This window comes from Homo sapiens, chromosome 1, assembly GCF_000001405.40.
Source record: "Homo sapiens chromosome 1, GRCh38.p14 Primary Assembly".
Lineage (NCBI taxonomy): Eukaryota > Metazoa > Chordata > Mammalia > Primates > Hominidae > Homo > Homo sapiens.
Window position 1 is genome coordinate 93,591,835 of NC_000001.11, and position 23,099 is coordinate 93,614,933.

Below are 23,099 nucleotides of genomic sequence, written 5' to 3' on the forward strand. Positions count from 1 at the left end.
GATCTGGGCCACCTGCCCTCTCTCCTCCCGAAGCTAAGCCACTGCCTTGAGAAGGAGGGGCTGCAAATGGTCTGAGGCTGCTGGCAGCTGGCCAAGAGTTCAATTACCTGGGCCACAGCCCGCCCTCCTAGTTCTTCCGGTTACTGACTCTGTGGCTGCTGCCTCCCACAACGCTGTGCTTGCAGACCCCAGGAGCGCTGGCTGTCCCTTCACTTCCTGAACATGTGGATGTGTGCTTTGGGTTCTTGACCTCAGCTCTTCCCAAGGTCTTCTTAGAGAAGGGTCTAAATGAAGTCATTTTTAGAGTATTTGTTTTTGGTTACACAGGTGCTTCCGCCCATGTGGCCTCGGAGTGGGACCCTGCGGGTCATCAATCTGTACATTGCCTGAGAGCAGCCGTGTATGCTCTGGAAGGGACAAGACCAGGTACCTGTCGGGGGATGCGGCCGTGGTACCAGGCATGGCTGCGCAGGTCCTCGCTGCTCAGGAGCAGCTCCTCCTCCAGCTCCTTCTTCAGTTTCTCGGGGGTCCTGTCCATGATGTGCCTCTCCTTGGAGAACTGCAACACAGAGTCAACCATGAGCTCACCCTGCCCAGGCCACACCAGGCCATGCCAGCTGGAGGTGACCGCCTGCTTCACTAATCCAACCAGTTATGCTACAGCCTGCATTCAGGTAGGGGAGCCTGGATAATGATTACAAAGAGCTGTGACCTTTCGTTTCTCCGGCCGCAACCATGTAATAAAATTTTCACCTGCACATGGGGACTATGGTAGGAGAGTCCACCAAGAGGTTCCTTTTACCAGTCTACTCAAGCAGCTGGGCAGGAAGGGCCAGAGAGATGTACAGACAGCAAGACACAGCAGCCCAGCCTGCTCTCTTCCCAGCGGAGAGCTTCCTCATTCTCCTTCAGGACTGTCCTGACATAGCGTGGGGAGGGCAGCTGTTCCCTTCTGGCCTTAGATCCTGGGCCTCTGGGCAGTGAGGCCCAAAGCACAGTCCTTGGGCTGGTAGCGATGGCCCTAACTTCTTTGCTGTTGGTAAACTCATGTTCAGGAATTGAGTCAGTCTTTAGAAACTTTTAGGGCAAATGGACAGAGCAATTTTATGTCTCTTGAATCTAATAACAGAAGTCTGTCTTTATTTCACATTTCTAATATTTCATTTTTATGACAGATAGGAAAGTGAAACAAATTTAAAAAGACAACCCTGGTCCTTCACCTCAGATGTTTGAGAATCAGTGGTCTGCGGCGTTGCACAGTGGCCATGGCAGTGAGTGCTGGGTGGACAGCGGTGGCTCCAGGTTTAATTTAGAACCATGCCTGCTTACAACATGTGAACTGAACCTGGAAACCTGCCCAGTTCCCAGCAAGACCAGGCATGCTGACCAGGAACCGCTTGCTGAAAGTCCCATGAACAGAAAAAGGCTGTGTCCCTGTGGTTCTCCCAAGTTTCCCAGCTTGTCCTTCAAACCCCCATGGGAGCCACAAAATTATTACTTATCACACTACTTTTTAAAAATGTTTATTTATTTTATTTTTTTTGAGACAGGGTCTCACTGTGCTAGAGCACAGTGGTGCAATCTCAGCTCACTGTAGCCTTGGCCTCCTGGGCTCAAGCAACCTCCTGGGCTCAAGCGATCCTCCCATCTCAGCCTCCCTGGTAGCTAGGACTACAACAGGCACGTGCCACCATGCCTGGCTAATTTTTGTAATTTTTTTTTTAGAGATAGGGTTTTGCCATGTTGCCCAGGCTGGTCTCAAACTCCTGGGCTCAAGCGATCCACCCACCTTGGCCTCTCAAAGTGCTGGGATTACAGGCGTGAGCCACCATGCCCGGCCTATTACACTACTTTGCACGTCAGCAAAGAAATAGCTCCAAATCCTTTTCCACCAAACAACAACAACAACAACAACAACAACAAAGCCCTGGAATTTTAGGGCTAGATTCTCATCCTCTAGTGCTTCTTTGCACATTGGCCCATAAGGAGCGCTAGCTGAAGAGTAACTCAGGGGCTGATTTTTAGATGGGGCTCTGGCTTACTATTTGTTTACTTCTCCCTCCTTCTCACTGGGCAGACACTCACTTGGGAGTGTCTGAAGGATGGAATTTGCATCAAAGAGATGCGGACGCTGGCTGTCCAGGGTGCCTGCAGGCTTTAGACGGTGATGTTTGACACCGTCCGCTCCCATCATTAATATTGTACGGCTTCATCTGAAGACAGCTTGAGTGTGGAATGCAGTTTGTCAACTCGGCCACGCTTTATTGTTCGTTTATTGTCTGACTTGCCTCCCACTAGACTGTAAGTTTCATGAAAACAGAAATCCATCTACTTTTTCCCCACTGCCCTTGAGCAATGCCTGAAAACATCAGGCACTGGGTATTCAGTAAACAAATACCCTAGGATGAGAAAAGATGCTGACTTTGCTTAGTTATGGAGATTCTCCCTTTCGCCCTCAAGTCATCTGAAGCCCTGTTTTCGCTGGGCATGCTGCCATTCAGCCAAAAGACCACATTCCTCAATCTCTGTCTCTTCCAGGGAGATGTGGCCACAGGACTCAGTTCTGACCAAGGAGCTGAGATGTGATGGCTGGAGACTCAACACCATTCTGGACGGTGAGTGGGGAGCCACACCAAGGAATTGGCTGGGTGGAAGGTCTGATTGAGGCTGGGTCCCTGATGACTGTGGGGCCAACACACCAGCCCTGGACCGCCAGCCTCCAGGTCTTCTAGGTGATCTACCTTATGGAAGCCTGTGATTTGTGGGTGTTCCCGTCACTGGCAGCTGAACTAAATCCTAACCCATATTGTGACCTGACCCCCATTGAGTCACCCTGACAGGCAGTCTGCAGGCTTAGCCTAAATCCCTTGTGCTGCACCCTGGGCCCACTTCTTGGTCTGACCTCTGAAAATGTGGAGATCTGAAAATATACAGCAGGTCTTGCACAGTTCTTTGTTGAAAATTTATTTGCTTATATCCAAGAAGCTATTTCCACAGTTATCTTTGCATTTTCCTTCCTCCCTGATGTCCTAACACTCAGCCACCTCTCCCTCTCCCCGGCTCCTTTCTCAGCCCTGCTCATAACAGCAAGGGTTATTATTCTTTTTAGCACTTTATATGCATCAATCTTTTATTCCAGGTTTTGAGATAATGCTTTTAAACTGGTTACAAAAAATATAAAATCAGCTATCTTGTTACTTCTGTCCTAATTCCTAAGAGAAGAACAGGAAAATCCTAAATTATTGCTCTTTCTCCCTGTAGACTCCAGAGAGTGAATCCTACAGGGTACTATAGGAGGTAGGGTATTACAGGAAAGTACCTAGAGAGAGAGAAATGAAGATATTAAGATTGACGCTCTCAAATAATTTGGGATGAAAGACCAGACTTCAAAAACTATGCCTTTAAGCTCTTGCATATTTTATGAAAAGTTTGAAGGTTACACAACTGCCTAGACTTGTATTTTAAAAGGGAAGGAGGGAAAGAGAGAGGGAGGAAAATGAGAGGAAAGGAGGGAGAGAGGGAGACCCAGAGTGAACAAGCAATTGCAAAAGGTTTTCCATTTCCAGCCAGTGAGGGCTGGCTCGAATACACTGCAGAGAGCCAGGTTTGCTGCTGGGAGCCTCTGCCTTAGCAGATGATGTGGACAATGTCTCCCAGACAACTGAAGAAAGCAATTCAAAAGGATCACCCCATATGGCCACCTCATGATGACACAGTGGTTATTTTGGGAGTGGAAACCTTCTAGAACTTTCACTACTGCCTTCGTCACATAAATTAATGCAATTATTTTTCCCAGCTGCCTGTATTTTATGAGATCTTGATCTCCCCAACTGTGATTTTGCCACTTTAGATAAGTACTTTGATGGACTGTAAACCCCACAGGTTAGTGAGAGGTGACCATATAACAAATTGTGGCAAAATGTATCCATCTGTATTTCTGAGAACATTGTGATTGATATCTGTGCTTCTTGGGGACCAGAAATGAGATTCCTGCTTCATAGCACTGGTCATGCATGTCTGCAACATTTGGCGGAATTCTGTAGGCTTCCCACATACAACCTGAATTACTGGTGACAGTGTATCCTTTCGCTTTTCTGCTGCCACGTGGGAAGAATTTGGATTTTTTCCCTGGAATGCAAGCATTCTATTCATGGCATAGGCTAGTTTTTGCAACTTGGCTATGAAGCAAATTCTAGCAATTTAAGGTAACACAACAGAGCCTCTGCCTTCAGCAAAGGTTTCATCCCCTCTGTGTGGCTATCTGTGTCCTCTAATTGATCTAAGTTCTAATTTATTCTACGAATGCCCTAAGAATCCTCCTGCCCTTCCTTAGACTACCTTTCTAAGGCAAGGGCAGAAGAGATTAGTACTGTATTCGCTCACATAATATTCGCATGCATTGTTATTATTTGCATAGCCCAGAATGATGCATGAGAAGACAGAGAATAAGGTGTCAGGTCCTAGGCATTCTAACTGCTTCCAATCTTGGGAAAATAAAGAAGACACAAGGACATTGTTCAAATCCACCCCAGTTCCCATAGCCTTTTCTCCTAGCTCATTTCCAACTCTCTCACATTTGTAGACATCTTCTGAACTCAATGTGCTTTAAAGACAGGCTGGACTCAAATCATCCTCAATCCCTCTGTCAGCAAGGGACAGCAGGCATTGTGGCACCCAGAATGAGTAACACGGCTGTGCTCTCTTAGAAAGTTGACATTGAGTGTGAATGGAGGACTCTGGCCCTCTGGACTATATGTTTTCTTCAACTGCCAGGCAGAGAGAGCAAGACAACTTGTGAATAATCATTCGCTCACATAAATGCAATAAACGTTAATAATGATCACATTATCTAGTAATACAACTTTCTCTCCAAGATCAAATTCTCTAACATTTGCCCTTGAGTTTGAACCTCATTCCTAGAAGGCATCTGATTCCTTGTTTTTCTAGTGTTTTGTCTTGAGGGGAAGGAGGTGGCAGCAGAGGAGGAGTCAGAGAGACAAAGTTGGTTTTCGCTGCCTCAGCAGAGGCTCCAGCCATCCTGAGCTCACCCCACACAGCAGCTGTGGGCTCAGCCTCCAGAGGAAGGGATGCTGCTGGGCTTTGGATCAAGAACATTGTGCCCACAGGTCTTGCCAGCTTCATTCTAGGGACCAAATCTACCTACAACCATGATGAGACCACAATGAGACAAACATGCAGGCAGGGCTCATATCTTGTGCTTCAGGAAATTTGAGTAGTCCTTTTAGAGGCACAGGGAGAGTAAGAAAAGGTACTATGTACATAAATAATAAGTATAACTTCAGCAGGAAAGAAAGAAAAGAAGGGAAGGAGAGTTAGTAACTACTGTACATGGTTACCCACTCACATGGCCCCACTTCGAAATGTTCATGTTTGTCCCAGTCATTAGCATTGGGGTCTGAGATGAGATGTAGGTAAAGTGACAAACAGGGCAAATGTAGGGGGTGGATGAGGCCCCCTCTTGTCCAACCAAATTGCAGGATAGTTAGAAAATTAATAAGTTACTATAATTGATGCTTTTCATGAAAATCTGAGTCTAGCTACATCTTTCCTATCCCCAGCATTTTAATAGCCCTGATATCAAAAAGTGTTACAGCAAGGTGTTTAAGAGCCACCTCAATCCACAGGCCACTGTGCCACGCACCTGCTGTGTGGCCTCGGGCAGGTGACATTAACTCTGTAGAGCCTCAGGCTCCTCATCTACAAAATGGGCATGATAATATGTCATGAGGTGTTAATAAGGATTAAATGGGTCAACATCTGGAAAGCACTAAGAACATCCCTGGCATGTAGTCAGCACTGTTAATTGTCATAATAGACTCATATCAGGATGCTACTAATCTGTTTCTATAAAATAAGCAGACTTCATGTTCAAGGTCTGATGCAGGAGGCTGAGGGAGGCAGGTGTTTGGGAGGCAAGCAGTTAAGGAAAGCAGCCTGGAGCCTGCCAAGTGCCTGGAGGCTGCCTGCCACAAGTTTCTTCAATCCTCACTCACTGCCCGCCTGGCCCAGCACCTCTGCTCGGTTACACGGAGGGGACTGGTCCTAGCTTGCTGGGACTGGCTCCAAGAAATCATAAATATCACTCTGAATCTGGAAAGCACATCTCTGCAGCCCCACGTGGCCCCAGCAAGTCCAGTCTTGACAGGCTGGAATAGCCAGGGCCCAGGAGATGATTGGAAAACACATTCTGGAGGCACAGAGCCAGGTCTGCAGACGTGCTGGGAACCTCGATTAATGCAGAAACCCACATTTCAGCAGCTCTCCAAGGAAGAAAAGCCATTCTGGCATGGGAGGAATGGAGCTAGGGGTCTCCTGCGTGAGCATCAGAGCCTGCATTTCAAATCAGGCACAACAATGGACCCTGGAGGCACAGGAGATTCGAGTTCTGAAGACGGGACGGGGAGGGGTGCACTTGGGCGATCTGTCAGAAACCCCCAGAGGAGGCTGGGGACACTCATTCGCATGTAGGAGACAGCAGAATTTGAAAAAGGTGGCATCTGCATTATAATTAATAATTATTTTACTCTATCCCTGCCTGTAAGAAAGGCTTCCTAGTTCCCACAGGATTTTAAATTGTGCAAATCGGCAGGAAAGACTCTATCCCCAGGCCTAGGAACTGAGGGTGGAAAGAGGCTGCAGAGGCCATGGCCATCCATTGTCATGACCAAACAGTTGCCAGCATCTGGCTGCCAGTGGGGGATGGATGCACTGGTCCCTGCCCTCAAGGAAGGCACAGTCTCCTTGGAAGATGACACACAAAGAACAGTTTAACACATTCCAAGCTCTAGAAACATACTGCTTGTCCTGCCATCTGCTCCCTGTCCCTCCCAGCTTGGCAGCCGGGGCAAGTTACCCCACCTCTTTGTCCTTTGGTTTTCCCTGTGGAAAAATGAGAAAAGTCACTGTGGCCAGGAGTGTCCTGGAAACAGCTTCATGGAGATGGGAGGAGGACAGATGTCTGGAGAATCAGGGTTGGACCGTGAGGATAAAACTTAAGGACAGGGATAGGAAGAGTATTTGGGACATTTGAGCTAAGGGACATTTCCTTTTGTCTTTTGAAGCCAAAAAGAGCTGGCCTTGGCTGGAAGGTTCTGGCTAGGAGGAGAGGGCTAAAGCATGCGAAGGCACAACAATGGTATGTTATGTATTTTATATACATCCAGCAACCCCGCCACTCCCCAGGAAAGCCACATCTTCACCCCAAGCATGCGTTCTGACCCCACCTTCCTGACCGTGGCCAGCTGGCCCAGGAAGGGTGCCTGTACCAAGTTGGTCCAATCAGAGTTCTTCCTGGGATTTTTCTAGATGGAACTGAGCGAAGAAGATACTCTATCCCACTTCAGTGAAAACATCATGAGGCTTGAAGCATGGAAGTTGCCTCACCCCCGTGTTTCCTGCCAGGTGGAACAAAGTGCTGAGAGAATCAAACCAGCAAGCAAAGAGAAGAGGAGCAAGAGATGGAAAGTGACCTCTAGCATGCACATCCCTAAGCCCCAGCTGATTATATCAGCCGGCAAACTCCTCTTGTGACCTAGGCTAGTATGAGTGGAATCCCTGTCACTTGTGACCAAAGCAGTCCTGACCCAGAAACGCAGGGACTGGCTGAGGGCAGCCCAACATTGGTGGCTGAGGGTTTAGACCATCACACTCCAGAAAGTCAGAGTCACGGAAAATCTTTGCCCAGGAAGGCAACAGGTATATAAAAAGATACTTTTAGAGAGATCTGGCTGCAGTGAGAGCAATGGGCTGGATGGGGCCAGGGCTGGAGGCACAGGTCAGAGTCTTTTGAAATGTGCTGACAACGCCCAGATCTCCATCTCCAGCCCTTAGGGTCGGTGCCTGGTAGGGATATTTACTGGAATCCGCATTAAAGCTCAGATGTCAATATGGATAAATTGAACTCATCCCCTCTGCAAAGCCTGATCTTCGCCCTTTTCCCCAGTCACTGGCATCTCTTCTGTCCTCATTACCTGAACTAGAACCCTCAGAATCGGCTTCCATTGGTTAAGACATTCCTGATTCTTTTACCTATCCCCATTCGAATCCCCACTGTTTAGATTACTGTTCTTTTCTCCTAGAACTTCTGCAATAGCCTCCTAACAGTTTCCCTACCTCCCATTTCTAGTCCCACAACCTGCCACCTACAATACCACCAACCTTGTCATATTGCCCCTAGGTTCAGAGATTTTAGTCCAAGGGTGCTCCAGCTAAGGCCGACATGACAGCCACAGTCTCTTTCAACTCCTCTCCCACCACACACACATATACACAGAATCAACGAGCTTCTAATATTTAGTTTTCATTCATGCCAGGGTTCGGGCCTGGTCCCTGGGGGCGCAGACCCCAGTCCTGCCCTGTTCCTCCAGAATCCTGAGCTTTAAGCACCATTTCCTGTTGCCCCAGGGAGCTGACCCATGGCCCCTGACATATACTGAACTTGCAGACACACTGGGATTTGGCTCTGAATTTGCTAGGAGGCCCAGATCATGAGAGGGCTGTGGATGCAAACAGGAAGCGTCCCTGTGGGCCCCCAGAAATAACTGTCAGAGGCATGACTGGCAGGGGAGATGGGCAAGGGTCCTGCCATTATGAAGTGGGTTCCAAGAGTCAGCAGAGTTGAGGCATTAAAGTTTTCAGGACATTATTTGGGGCTGTTGGCTGCCAAGGCCTGAGGAAATATTGGTTATGCTTCCAAGGGCTCACAGTGACCTCCAGATAAAGCCCAAAGCCTCCTTCATAAGTCAAGTAATGCCTTTTTCCACCTGGCCACAAGCTAACTTGCTAACATGTTCTGACGCAGGGTCCAATTGCAGGAACCTTCCATGGCTCCCTGAACAAAACATCCCTCATGTCCTGCCTCCATGCCTTTGTCTTGTGGTCCAGCAGACAGTGACACATCTGTAGAGGTACACGGCCTGGCAGGAGTCCAGGATGGGAACTGGGGAACAGCCAGGGGAAAGTCAGACAAGGTAGGTGGGGACCTTGAAGGCCAAGCAGAGACCATGCCTTATTTACCTTTGGCTCCCAGAGCCTGGCCCAGTGCCTGGCACACAGCGAGTGCCCAGTAGACAGTGACTGGCTGGAACCATGCTCACTTGCTTGCCCTCTGTCTAGCAGGTTCCTTGTCACATTGGGTGTGGAGGAGAGGAGAGAGCTTGGAGGCTGGTCAAGAACAAGTGACCTTGGGCCATCTCTACACTTCTGAGCTTGTTTCTCTATGCATAAGGAGTGGGGATAATAACTCCCACCTTACAGGACTATAGGACCTGATGCAGGTAAAGCATCTGGCACTATACCTGGCACATGGATGCTCGCTTGACACAATGTGGAATTTGAACCCTCTTTCAAAGACGGCTTTTAGCAACAAAATGGAACTACTTCACTAAAGAAGTAAAGAAAAAAAATTACAAAATCCATCAGAGGTTTTAGAGATATCTGGCCCTCGATAATTTAGTTCTAATGGAATAAAAAAGCTAGAAGTTGGAAAACTGATCTCTACTTAGGCACAGGTTTGTTTATTCGTTTATTTCAGTGCAAAGTCAACAGTTCCTGGGATTTTGAGTAGCACTCAATGGTTCTATAGATGCAGGGTGAGTAAGCAGGCATACTGTCGCTTGGTGGCAAGCACTTTGTATGCATATATCTCACTATTAACAAGTATATGTATTAGCGCCAGGTGGCTCACATATCCACAAATACACAGGTGACACAGCCCAGCATGCGAGTGCAAGACAGTTTTGTGTTTGCACAAGACTAAGAGGTCCTTGTATGTAGATTCTGTCTTCTTGGACACTTAGTTGTTGAGAAATTTTTTGTTGAATTTTAAAAACTGAGATGATTTTCTAGTCATTCATTTATTCCATGATCAAGCCTGGCAATTAACTTGGTTGAATAAAGAAAAAGAAGAAGGAGGGAATGTGTGCATAAAAAGAGGAGGTGGGGAGGAGAAGGGAGAGGAGGCTGGAGAAGGAGCAAGCTAGCAAGCTGCTGGGCTATTCTATCCTAGTTGGGAGTGTCAGGCTCCAACACCCGGAATGCTATCAGGGTTCTCAAACAAAAGCCTCCTTTCTTCAGTTTTGGAACAGTTTATTAGCTTGAGGGAGAAGTCCACAACAGTCCAGGCCTCTTATCAAATTGTATCAAACAACTCCACAGGTTGGGATTTTCTAGAAATCCTATCCAGAAATTTTGATTACAAATAAAATTATAAGTCTGACTGGAGTTCTGGATCTTCGATGTTAACATTGGTCTAATTTCTTTTTCATTTTTTTTTTTGAGACAGGGTCTTGCTCTGTCTCCCAGGCTGGAGTGCAGTGGCGCATTCATAGCTCAAGTGATCCTCCCGCCTCAGCCTCCCAGGTAGCCAGGACTACAGGTCTGCACCACCACACCCGGCCATTGGTCTAATTTCTAAGCAAGGCCAGTGTCTTCCAATGAGCTCAGGGTGGGAAACCCCACGGGGGTTGGGCTGTGAACTGTACCAGGTGGCCCAAGCTGGGGGTCCAAAAAGACAGATCCACATCTCAAATCCACTGAACTCTGGGAATCCCTGTGATGACCTGAGACCTGCATCATCACTGCCCCCAATAATGTTGTAAACATGTAAAGAAACTGAATCCCCAAAAAGCACACTTTCAAAAGCACTACACAAAGCAGTCTGAACCCTTCCTCTGAAGAAGGCTGCTACATCTGGCATCGTCTTACAAGTAAATCCAACCCGAAATGAAGTTCTTTGGAGAATTCAGAAACTCAGCCCTTTTGAACCCCTGCCTTGCGTTGAATTTCAAGCCAAGTTTACAACCAAATTCTGAAGTATATAAAGGACTTTTAAAGACCCAATTGGTATTTTTACAATTGAAAACCTGCATAAATTGATCATGAACCCAAAGAATGAATAAACCCCAATTACTTTCATCACTCTAAACCCTGCCCGAAGCTGAAAATAAAAATCCAGTTCTCCACAAGTTTGAAGACCAGTTACTTCTAGTACGAGCCCTTGGGTGTTTTCATCTAAAGTAGAACAGAAAGAACAGGAATGGCACTTGTGGCGATCCTAAAGCCTTGCAATGAAATAATTAGTAGATTGGTTCTGTTTCACCTTTTACTGACACTTGCTGGTTTTGTGGCTTACTTAAAAATAGTTTATTTTATTATAATCCAAAGATAAATGAAGAAAGGTTTGAATTCACCAATCCTACTTTTCCCACTGGGATGCTAGGCTAGAAAAATAGTTTCTTATGCTAATAACTGTGATTAAAGCCAAAGCATTTACTTAAATAATTAACTTTACAAATAAAAAAGTTCAAAGAGAAAAAAATTCATATTTTATATCCCTGTTGGGTAAACAAAACCAAATGTGAACGTGGGCAATTGGGCATCTTTGCCTGACCCAGCCCAGTGGGCACATGGTGGCCTGGCCAGCGGTCCAGGACGTTGCCAGAACCATAGCTAAGGAGGTGCCACTTGTACACAGCTGTCATGGATCTATATATTGATTACAACAGCTGCCCAACATATGACAATAAAGTGTCCTGAGGAAAGGGTGTCTTACTCTTATTCACTCAAGAGGCACTCTACAGGCCAGCAGGGAGGGTCCCTGAGTGTGTCCCTGAGACTTCTCTGCCTTTTAGGTGTTGGACCCTTGGCAGATGAGGACCTCTGGCCTCACTGGGCCCCTTGCTATGAGCCAGCTCCTTCAAATTCTCTCATTAAAGCTCAGTGAAGCAGCCTTTGCAGAGAGCTTCCTAATCCATGCACACTTCACCCTTTTGGCTAAAGTTCTGCAGAAATAGTCAGGGGCTCCATTTTCAATCAAGAGTTTGATAGTCACTGGAACACCGTGCCTTAAATGAAACCCAAGGACTTACTGCATGCCTGCCGTGCTACTCTGCCTCTCTGGCTAGATCTGAGGCAGCCGCAGCTGTGATGGAAGGAGGACTCCATGCCCTGCAGCAGTCACAGCCTTTTTGAGGAGACAAAGCATTTGAAGAGAATGTGCAGCAATAAACATCTATCTTATCTGGGGTCAGTGAGGGTTTCTGGTCCCTTCTGACAAAGAAATTGGCAGCAGAGATTCCATAAAAATTTCAATAAGTTTTAGCATTCTGAAACACTTCAATTAGTTTGATGTTAACGTTTAAGCACCTTGATGAAATAAATTTATCTCTTCCAAATCCTAGAAAGAATCTCCCTTTCGGCAAAGATTCTGCAGATGGGTTTTGATGCCATTTTTCCATTTTGTAGTTAGATCTCTATCATTTATCACACTGTAGACCAAATGGTCGTTTTAGTGCCATTAAAAACTGATTTGCAATTTGCTGTTAAATTAAGATGTTTCATTTTCCTACTGTATATGATTTTCCTTTTCACAGATGAGTGAGGATACAAGGGGCAATCAGACCCTAGTGCAGACAAGAAAATACCATCAAAACCCCTAGAGATCCCAAATCTAAGAGATTTCCTTTTATTCATTATCAAACCTAATCAATCTCTTATCAAAAGAGGCTCAGAAATCATGTATAGTAAATATGAAGAGGATATCTGTAGAACCCCTTGCTTATCAAAGTTCTGAGAAATTCCCATTAAATTTCTGTTATCCATGTGTGCAAACTAAAAAGACTAATTTAATTTTAATTTGTGCAGACTGAAGTCTTAGAGCAGAGCACTCTGTAAGCAGGCAGCAGTAACTTAATCCTACATGACAAACTAATTACATTAGAATCATTGTGATAGGTGCCCATGCCTTCTTTGATGTTAAACCCCTGTTACCTTTGATCCACAGTCATTCTCTGGGCAAGGTCTCTTGCACACATTCCCATCCTGCCAGATCATGAAGCTGTTGCTTTTGAAGCTCAGTTTTATTTTGATAGAACACCAAGGGACTGAAAATTATTTCTCACTGATTTTGTTCTGAAAACTTCGGGTAGAATTCTAAGCTTGACAGAATGTAGCACATACAACGCCAACAAATGTGGCTTCTTTTCTTCACTAAGATCACCCACTCACTGGTGAAACTGCTCAATGTACTCATTGCACTGTAACGTCTCTCTCCATCCCTTCTTGACCCCAGTGAGTTTGCCCATCATGTTTCTTACCCCTTGATAAACATCATTTACCTACAGCCTCACTCAAAGCTCAGCTCCAAGGGGGTCTCACCTTTTCGTTAATAGATAAACCGAAACACGATGAGATTTCCAACAGGCCATTTGTTAACATCTTGCCACGCTGAAAGCCCTGGCGGGTACCTTCCGTCTAGATCAAATTTAGATGATGACTTCCTGGAGCAGCCCACAGAGGACCAGACATCCAAATCACCCCAAGAGGCAGGCCTGTATTCTCATTCCTCCTAGAGAGAAGTCGGATGTGCCACACTTCAGAGGAAGGCCGAAGGTCAATGGGTGCACTTAATCATTATTGGACTAGAGAAATGAAGGGCTTTGATAAAAGCTAAACACCAGTCCAACCTACTGTGAAAACCCTGTCTAAACTACTTTGCTCCCTTTAACCATGTCCTCGAGCGACTTTGAATAATATCTCTCTTGCTTTCACAGGGCTGGCACTTGGGTTAAAAGAAACAATGCAAGTGAAATATTAATCGCTGAGTTCAGCAGCAAGATTACACTCAGTAATAGTAGTGCTTTCTTAACATCTTTAAAGAATGAAAAGAACAAAGACTGCCCTGGCTAAGGCAGACCCTAATAAAAGAGTTTGAAAACCGGCTGATCAGAGTTCAAAATGCTAGAAGATCCAAGCCAGAAATCCTCACCACTGGTAATTCAATCTTGTTAATTCAACATCTTAATGCAAATTATGAATGATCTGGAACACAGCTATTCATCAAACCAGATGTCCTATTTGCTCTTCAATAAGAATGTCAGCAAATCAAAATCAACTTAATTCAAATACTCTCATTTCCTAATTCACCTTGAATGAATGAGATGAATTAGGAAAAGGAGAGTACTGAATGAACAAAATGCACCGTAGTTGAAAGACACCCAAAGATGTAATTGGAAGGAAAAACAAGATATGCCAAACACATGGAGGAAAAGCCAAAGATTCAGACAGCCTTCCAGCGTGGGGTGTAGAACAAATGACTTTCAAATTCTCTCTCTCCAAAATAGTACCATGACTAACTACCATCTTAGAACTCTGCTCTGGGACAAAGCGCATCACATGTCAGTGCTAAGTACGCAGCAGGCTTGCAGTAAAACAAAATGATTCATCACAAGATGGGTTTTGGCCAGACATCAACTGCACCACTTTCAATATACAACTCACAGGTCACTTTAAAGGTATATTCCTTCTAGAGGAGCTCAAAGCACTAGATACCCACATATCTCATTTAACAAGCATTTTAAAAAATGCAAACAGCAAACATCCTACATGTCATGCAGAGAAACAGAGAACCAGAAACTGGACTTAAAGACACAAGATACTCAACCCAATACAACTCAGATCTCATGAGTTCATACAGCATTCCTGTGGGCTAAACAGTGAGCAAGAATGTTTACATCTCACAAGAAAATAGGGTGGTGGTAGGGACAGAAAGAAAGAGACAGGTGAGAGTGGTGTTTAGAAGGTAATATCATGAAGACCTACTCATTAATTACATGTGGAAAATGAATAGGAGGAAGGGGCATGGGCATTCCAGAAAGATGACTGAGCCACCAACATCCAATAAAAATGCACGAGGGCATAGTGGGTTTGTGGAAGAAGATGTAGAACTAAGGTCTGCTGGGCCTTCTGGATGGAGTCACTTACTGGGCCATGGGGTCCAGGTGCTATGGACATAGGTTGACTGGAGAGCCTATCTGGAGAACTACGGCTTGGGAGTCCTCAGTATAGAGGGGTATTCTATCCCAACTTTCACCAAACAGATGGGATACAGCATGAGAAGAGGGCTGGGGGAGGCTTTTCAGAGGCAGACTAGAAAGAGAAACCCAAGAAGACAGTAGGACTGGACAGGAAGGACACAGGAGAACAAACAGAATGCAGTGTCCTGGAGGTTGAGAAAGCTGATTTCAGGAAGAAATGGTCAACATTGTCAAGTGCTGCAGAGAGTTCCAATCATATCAGAATTGGACAGCATCCGCTGCACTTGGCAATGTGCAGGTCACTGGTGGCATAAAAGGGGCTGAGTGGCCAATGGAAAGGGAGGGAGTAAAGACTGTGTTAACTTACAAGTGAGAGTTTATGCATGTATGATATACAGAGGGACATAATAGACACTGGGGACTCCAAAAGAGGGGCGGAGGGATAGGGAGTGAGGGGCTGACAAATTACCCATTGGTACAATGTTCATTATTTGGGTGGTGAGTACATTGGAAGCTCAAATCCCACCGCTATGCAATATATCCATGTACAAACCTGTGCATGCACCCCCAGATCAATAATTTTAAAAAGACTGTTAACCAGCTTCGGGGTGGAGGAAGATGGGGACCAGGAATGAGCATGGAAACGAGGAGGGTTTTTAACATGGGAAAGACCACAGCATGTTTCTAAGCTAAGAGGAAACACGATCTCGTTATGAGAGTTAGAAGGACAAGGCCTGAAGAGAAGGTGGAGGGAGGAAAATTAGGGTGAGCTGAACTAGGACAAGCAGGACAGATGGGAGGCTTCAGGGGCCCAGGGAGGACACAGGCATGAGTTAGGGGGATGCTGCTGCTGCTCCTCAAACTCATCCCACACATAGAGTCCAACGCCCAAGCTCTCACTCACTCCGCATCCAAGCCACTTGCTGGGTCCCCACTGCCCTTAAAAAAAAAAAGGCCCAGCATGCTCTGTTCCCCAACCACCTCTATGGGCTCATCTCCTTCCACTCCTCAGCTTCAGCCTCAAGCTCCCGTATAGGAAGCTCTTTCCCTCTCCTGTGCCTTTTGTCCCTATGGCTCCTACAGTGTTATCTCCTTCAGGAAGTCCCCTGATCCAGGGCTGGGTTAAAGACCTCTCCCTGGATCTCACAATAGGCTGTGCATCCTTCCTGCCTTTGCACCCACCACAAAGCACAGCGTAAGCTGCTTGTATCTCCATCCGCCCACCAGACACAGCAGAGCTCCTTCGGGCGGAATGTTCACCTCTGTCTTCCCCCTCCTAGTAGGCCCTCAGTGCACATGCTAGGGGTAGGCTGGGGAAGGGCGATGAATCAATGGCTTCTGAGTCAGAGGCTGGATGGATAGTTCCTCAAATCTCATCTTACTGAGAATCCAGATTTTACTCATCAGTCCTTTCTACATAACTATTTTTGTAAAAGCACACACATATCTAGAGTAGACACTGGGGAGAGTTCTTCTCCACAAGAACTAAAAGACATGAAACATAGCACTTTCATGAGCTAGACAGAAAAATAGGCCATAAGATTCTCATGGCCAGAGCCAGATTTCAACAGTAGCTCCTGGCACTGTGGACACACACTGGAAATACAGCTGAGGCCAGAGATGGTGTCCAACCTCCTGAGGCTCTCCTTTCCTTCCCAACCAGGACAGGCTGAGTCTCCTCTGCTGTTCCTGGGGATACCCAAGATACCCATCAGCTAAAAGGCCCCCAAGCTATCACTGACAACATCTTTAAACCCAGCAACAGGCCTGGGTCCCCCGTGCACTGCTGACCTCTCGCGCAGGCTGTGCGGGGAGACCTTTGTGGTCGGAGCACACCAAGCCTCCAGCGTCCTCCCCAGTGTTTAGCATGGCCCATCCCTCTGCAGTCCTGGAGGTGCTGAATCCACTAACAGAATTTTCCCAAGATCCCAATCCCGTCTCTGCTTCCCACTTAGGTCTCTCCAACAAAAACAAGTTCTTGGCCAGGATCCCAGCTCCAGGGTCTGCTAGGGAACCGGGTCCTGGGACACAGGCTCTGTCAAGCATGTCTTTCCCCTGATATTGAAACCAGATCCCACCCAACCAGATGCCAATGGAATGCATTTAAGCCTCTTTCAAAAAGCTACACTGTCCTTTCTTTTTGGAGGGCTGGAGAGATAAGTGAGCAACTAGCAGCTGCCACGAGGAGGGGCTGAGTTACTTGGAAAGACATTTCCTGCAAGGCTTCTTCCACCTTGCGCAGCTCGTGCTGATGGTGCATCTGCCCCACTGACAAAGGCAACTCAGGCCATCGTCAATGCTGGGATGTGTCACCAGTCCCCAAGCTGTCACCGTAACAGACAGACCAAATGACCAGCCACAGGGAAGATGAGCAGGGCCTCTGCTGCACCACACACACGCACCGCCACAGAAAGACAGTTTCACATGAAACCAAGTTCCAGGGGCCTGGCACTCTAGGATGGGCAGATGTGACTCCTCAGGCTGTAATATGGATTCCAAGAGGCTCCAGATATTTTTTTCAGGGTAGGGGAAATGACTTTAAAGGAAAACAAAAAAGAAACAATACTACATAGCACTTCCTGGCTGCAAAGACAGTCGAATATAAGTCTAGGAAAGCACATGTCTAACATCCCTGCCTTCTGTGGCTGCTCATTGACAAGACCATGGCCACTAGACTTAAGGCCTGGTTAGCTGAGACTTACTGATTCCATCTATCCACAGGCACCACACCCCAACCTCTCTATCTGCGCTCTTTCAGAAAGGTGGCTTTTCCGCCCTTGCAAGGTAATTCCCGTCTCTTAGGTTCCTCTGACACAGGCACCCCTGACCTTCCTCAGGCGCAAACATTGACAAAGTGACAAGTTTCAGCTCCTTTGTCCCCTGTCCACAAAAATACCTAAATAAATAAGTTACTAACAGTCAGAGACACAAGGGGCCAGAAGAGGTAGGGGTTTGTTTCCAGTGCCAGCCCCAGAAATGTGACCCATTGTGCTTTTTACCAAGTTCCTCCTCTAGCTCACCAGGGACCTGGGGGCGGGCCTGCCAGCGGCCACTCCCTGTGCTCCCCTTCCAGGCTGATGCCTCCCTGCCTGCCCACACCGGGGTACTCCACGTCTCTACACTTTGTGCGTGCTCCTCTCTCCACGAAGAAGGCCAATTCTCCTCCTTCTCTGGATAACTTCGACTAATTCACCAGACTCAGCAAAGGCTCTGCCTCCCTGCAGGAGGCCATCCCTGATCCTCGCCACTCCTGCCCCATCTATGCCAGGCATGTGCCTCCAGGGAGCCACAGCACCCTCTAAAGAGAGCAACACCAAATCAGTGATAACCGATCGTTTCCTTCAACCAGAGTTAAATGTCTGCAGAATGCCCACCAGGCATGGTATTACAGCAGAGATCCCCACTGGACCAACAACTCCCACTGGGTCCCCAGCACCGACACATCCGAGGTACCACAACCGGTGACTGCTGAGCTGAACTAAGGATGCAATGGGATGAAAGCCAATGGGGAAATGTGCCTCAAATACTTATTAACCCCTGGTACAGGAGGCCTGGCTGCTGGGATTATTCCTAGATCCTCTGTGACTTCTCTGACCATGTCACACACTAACCTTCCCAGTGAACCTTCTGCTCTGAGCAGGCCTGGCCTTCTGCACTCCTGCAAATGCCAGTGGCTTTTCTATCTCTGAGCTACTGGGTCTGCTGCTCCCCCAGGCTGAAATGCCGTCCCTATGCCATTCTTTTCTTTGTCCATCCAAATCCCCAGTTATTAAAAAAAGGAGAAAAATTTAAAAGGGGTTACCTGTTCTTAAAAACAAACAAACAACAACATCAAAAACAAAAACAGTCCCACATCCTCCCTGAAGCTTTCCTAAAAACTAAGGCTCACACTGTTCTCTCCCAACTGAACTGCAAAATAAAGTATTAACATACACAATATCATCTTATTTTAGGCGTCAATTGTCTTAATATAGTACAGTAGAAAGAACGCTAGCAGCCAGGCATGGTGGCTCACACCTGTAATCCCAGCACTTTGGGAGGCCGAGGTGGGCAGATCACCTGAGGTCATGAGTTCAAGATCAGCACGGCCAACATGGTGAAACCCTGTCTCTACTAAAAATACCAAAAATTAGCCAGGTGTGGTGGTGGGTGCCTGTAATCCCAGCTACTCAGGAGGCTGAGACAGGAGAAGGCGGAGGTTGTAGTGAGCCGAGATCACGCCATTGCACTCCAGCCTGGGCAACTACGTCTCAAAAAAAAAAAAGAAAGAGCACTAGGCTTCAGCCCAGAAAATCTGCTTTCTATTCCTAGTTCCCCACGAAATGATTCTGGGCGGGCTGTTTCTCTGAGCCTTGGTGTGTCCTCTGCGGAAAGGGTAAATTATTGCCCTGCTCACCTCACAGAGCTTATTTTCAGACTCCAGTGAGACAAAGTTGTTGAAGTCTTCATAGCATAGAGAGCTTGTTTTGAGACTCCAATGAGACAAGATGTGAAAGAACTCATACATTTGAAAGTCTTTTGCAAATGTAATGAAGTGATATTATGACCTAATAATATCCTTGTGGTAAGTCTTTGAAGGCAGGAACCATGCCTCAAATCTCATTTATTGCCCCACACCTCCCACAAATCCCTCCCCACCTAACAGAGGGCTTATGCATGGACTTTACATTCAACACCCATTCTACATTCAACACGCATGGACTTTAGAACTTGAATATGTCTGTTAATGTTATGATCTGGAATATCTCCATTACAAGTTTCTTTCCACTGGGCTTAAATAAAACACTTTCGTCTTTTTTCCCCCAGAAAAAAGATCCAGTAGTCTTTTATGTAACGGCTGTCTACTGTGAACCCCTTCGGGATATTAAAGTCATGACCCTCAACATGGCTGGAACATCTTGTATTTGGCCCCAACTCTATGAGGGCCAGCACATCCCTGATCCTTCTCTCCATTTTCGGCCTCCCATTTAATTCCTTTCCAAGGTCTTTATACACAAGTCCGTATGAGGCCTCTAAATACATCCTAAATTCTGTAAGACCGCTGCAAATAAGATCTTACTCTCTAAAAACACCTGTATAATCATTCTCCTATGTAAGGAGGGACCCTCTATATTTTTAGTTTTGTTCCCATACAGCAAACACTATTAATACCATCGTACTTTCTCCAGAGATGATATGGATTAGACCAAATGGAAAGTTACCATGGCTACCGCAGTGTTATTTTTGGTATGAGAAATTCATGCCAAGAGAAGCAGTATACATGGTCAAGAATTGGAGCTTTATTTCCTCTTTGCTATCAGGCAATCAATCCCAATTTAATTTTGAAACTCTAATTGCAACGGAAACTAATTATGAGCAGCAAGATCTGGAACCCCTAATTAAAGTGGGAGTCAATAAAGCGACTCGGCATTATCAACTGGGGCACCACTGGCAGGATGGGGGATTAAGTACAAGCAGATTTCTTTCCCAAGTAACTAGCTAAGCAAAACAAAACAGGGAGACTCATCTTGAGGGTGCAGTTGGTAAACCCTAAGTTGGGACCGAGGGCTACAGTTTCCAGTGAGTGAGCAGCTCAGGCCTTCTCTCTGTGCTATGAAGACTTCGACAAACTGGGAATAGAGTAGAAGTCCAGGCGGAAAGAAGGGTGTTTCTACCACAGTCAACCACCAAGAGTGGCCACGGTGGAGAGATAGAGAGTGCACAAGCTGAAGGACAGCTGGACCCGACTACCCCATATATTAAGTGGCCTTTTCTATATATTATGTAGCCTTGGGGCCGTAACTGCAGACCAACAGGTACCCAAACAGAAACTCATCCCTCAGACCCAGATATTTATAGGCTGACTCCCTCATACACCCAATGCTGAGTTGCACTTCACTGAATTAGCAGAAGTTGGCTTGTGGAAGGACTTCTATTAGAGTGAAACCCACTGCCAATCCCCGAAGTGCACCATACCCTTTGGGACCTCCTAGTCTATCTTGGAAGCTTTAAAATACTGTTAATGGCATGACTTCATCTGCCCCACACTTGAACGATCCATATTTAGGCCAGAAACCACATGGATCTCGCATCACTTCACTGGGCTCCAGGACAGAAAGGGGCTCAAGTCAGGAAGGGAATGCTTCTAACCAATGATTAATTACTCATCCTCTGTCAAATTTCTTGACAAAGGGACAAAAATGAACACTCCTACCAGGGAGCAAAATCAATGGAAACTCACCCTTTTCCCACTCTGTATATTTTTAAACAAAAAGGTTTTCTCCCACTAACAGGTAGTTTTCCTGATTTTTTTAAAAGCGTATTGAGAAGAAAGAAGCAGAACATCATAACCCTGCTGCAGCCTTTTCAAAGGTAATGAATGAGCCAGTCCCACAGGAGAGGGAGCTCTGCTTCAGGGTGGGAAGGATTCCTTGAGAGCTTTCAGAGTCCAATTTCCCAGGAATAAACGAGGTCCGCAGTCAGGCTGGGGCCGACAGGCTTTTTCCAAGGCAGACAAACCCCAAGATCCACGAAAGCCTATATTAATCTTAATTCCTAGTGCGTCACAGGCAGGCAAATAGAACACAGGCCTCATCTTGAATTAGCCAAAGGAGGTTCTCTGAATATTTTCATCAAAATAGTGTATTGACATATTATACAAAGCTCTTGGCACCGGTGTCTTATAACAAATGTTAAAATGTGAGCAGTAAAGACAACAACAGTTCTGAACCCTGAGATGTTTTGAAACCTGGCTGCAATTTGAAAGGAAATATTGTGTGGCTTCTGTACATTATGTACATTATTGATAAGTAATGGACCAGCAGGATAAACAGAGAAAAGGGCTCAGCTACCTTGTGTTCGTTAGAAATGAAGGAAGAGAGACAAAGAGAGAAAGAAGAAAAATAGCTCTGTCCTATTGAGCTACTTTAGTATAAAATTTCAGCCTACAGAGAACTGAAAGTGTCCTGAAAAACAGCTTCAGCCCAAAACAGACAAGGAGCCCTGTTCTGTGCCACTGGGTTCTGCTTCCAGGGGAGGTACACCACTAGGGGCTCTTGAAGACCCATCAGTCAAAGAAAGCACCTCTGTTTTCACAATCAGCAAGCTGCAAACTTTTATCTATTGCCCTTTAGGAAACTCATGCTTTCAGGGTCCCCCAAAAGATTGACAGATGTACTTTATTTCCAAACCAAACCTACCTTGACTCCAATGAAAGACTTGCGGTGATAGAAGCAGCACAGAGCTGCTGAGAGGGCGTGGAAAGCACTGCATTCCTTAGGCATCTTTCGGTCTTCAGTCCCGGGGACCACACACTTTCTTTAGGGTTAAAAGAAAGGGGGCTTCGGACGTTAAAGCCCTAGCCCACCACAGCAGCTGTGCTGTTTCTGCCCAGAAGTCAGGGAAGTCGGCAGCCGGGGGAGTGAGTCGGCTCCTTCTCCCAGGCTAGTCTGGGACTTTTCCCCTCTGCTGAAGCCAATACGATCCACTCGCTCAATTCTCGCAGGCTGGTGTCCAGCCTGCCATGCACACAGTGCCAGAAATTCTCATGTGACCAGACTTGCTTTCTGATGAAATTCTAACCCCTCTTAGAAGAGGCCTTGGGCTTTAGCTGTCCCCTCAATTTAGAGACCAGGCAGAAATCATTAGCAGCCCCTCTCCCCCGACCCAGAATTTCCTTCTGGGGCTGAACTGTACCATGCGACCTGCTCCTAGTGGTTCTGTCTGCTTGTCACTCCAGCACCCAGAGGTTTAAGGAAGCAGGGTAAGTTGTACATTCACACCACCTTGTTATGAACAGAGGCTCCTTTGAGGAAAGGAGGTGGCCTAAAAGTGACTTTCCCTAGGAGAAATACTAGATGTACTAAGTAACCCAGGCAGGATCCCTGTCCTCACTCTCCCAAGCCCACCTCCAGAGCTGTTTATTTTTAATTAAGATGCTCCTGGCAGCCAGTTTGCAGCTGATAACGTTGGCACAGCCATCACTACTGGCAAAGCAATATTGCCTTTTGGTGTTTAATTAGCAAGTCTGTCAGCAAACACCCTGAGCGCCCTATGCCCTCCCACCTGGCTGTGCAACCTGTTGGGAGGATGGGGACTGTGTACCCACTTCTGACTCAACTGTTTGTCCTATACCTTCCTTTAAATCCTTCACTTTAATTACTCATCGCCACTCTGATTACCCACTTTGCGTAACCTAGATCCTGCACACAAACCTCGCATCCAACGCAGCCAAGCAAGGCCCTCCTGGATTCCCTGCGACCTGAGGCCTCTACCCCTACCAAGAGC

General features: G+C 46.5%; 1 protein-coding gene and 1 long non-coding RNA gene across 34 annotated transcripts in view, besides 5 other annotated features; one reads left to right on the forward strand and one right to left on the reverse strand.

The window, feature by feature from the left end:
- BCAR3 (BCAR3 adaptor protein, NSP family member) overlaps positions 1-23,099 on the reverse strand; it is a 286,411-nt gene that overhangs the window by 30,094 nt on the left and 233,218 nt on the right. For 27 of the 33 annotated variants that reach the window (NR_178024.1, NR_178023.1, NM_001261408.2 and 24 more), the window contains one exon: positions 431-559. The exons of 2 other annotated variants lie outside the window; for them this stretch is intronic. Coding sequence is in view for 28 of the 31 variants with exons in the window: in NM_001261408.2 (NP_001248337.1) it covers positions 431-559 (129 nt within the window). In the remaining 3 variants the exon portion in view is untranslated. Of the gene's footprint in view, positions 1-430; positions 3,664-22,012; positions 22,264-23,099 lie in introns of those variants that run through there. 4 more of the 33 variants (NM_001261410.2, NM_001412075.1, NM_001412074.1 and 1 more) reach the window with 3 other exon arrangements.
- Positions 134-8,196, forward strand: BCAR3-AS1 (BCAR3 antisense RNA 1). Its single transcript, NR_034091.1, has 4 exons — positions 134-674; positions 2,539-2,615; positions 7,083-7,156; positions 7,327-8,196. It is a non-coding gene; the product is annotated as a BCAR3 antisense RNA 1 (long non-coding RNA).
- Positions 330-830: an enhancer, noted in NCBI's record as "H3K4me1 hESC enhancer chr1:94057721-94058221 (GRCh37/hg19 assembly coordinates)". NCBI's record gives its function as "activates a minimal SCP1, AML or CMV promoter by ChIP-STARR-seq in primed H9 embryonic stem cells {active_cell/tissue: H9 hESC(primed)}" and the evidence as "EXISTENCE:reporter gene assay evidence [ECO:0000049][PMID:30033119]".
- Positions 337-496: an enhancer, noted in NCBI's record as "active region_1332". NCBI's record gives its function as "activates an Ori minimal core promoter by ATAC-STARR-seq in GM12878 lymphoblastoid cells {active_cell/tissue: GM12878}" and the evidence as "EXISTENCE:reporter gene assay evidence [ECO:0000049][PMID:35858748]".
- Positions 17,862-18,425: an enhancer, noted in NCBI's record as "H3K4me1 hESC enhancer chr1:94075253-94075816 (GRCh37/hg19 assembly coordinates)". NCBI's record gives its function as "activates a minimal SCP1, AML or CMV promoter by ChIP-STARR-seq in primed H9 embryonic stem cells {active_cell/tissue: H9 hESC(primed)}" and the evidence as "EXISTENCE:reporter gene assay evidence [ECO:0000049][PMID:30033119]".
- Positions 21,660-22,313: an enhancer, noted in NCBI's record as "H3K27ac-H3K4me1 hESC enhancer chr1:94079051-94079704 (GRCh37/hg19 assembly coordinates)". NCBI's record gives its function as "activates a minimal SCP1, AML or CMV promoter by ChIP-STARR-seq in primed H9 embryonic stem cells {active_cell/tissue: H9 hESC(primed)}" and the evidence as "EXISTENCE:reporter gene assay evidence [ECO:0000049][PMID:30033119]".
- Positions 22,314-22,966: an enhancer, noted in NCBI's record as "H3K27ac-H3K4me1 hESC enhancer chr1:94079705-94080357 (GRCh37/hg19 assembly coordinates)". NCBI's record gives its function as "activates a minimal SCP1, AML or CMV promoter by ChIP-STARR-seq in naive H9 embryonic stem cells {active_cell/tissue: H9 hESC(naive)}" and the evidence as "EXISTENCE:reporter gene assay evidence [ECO:0000049][PMID:30033119]".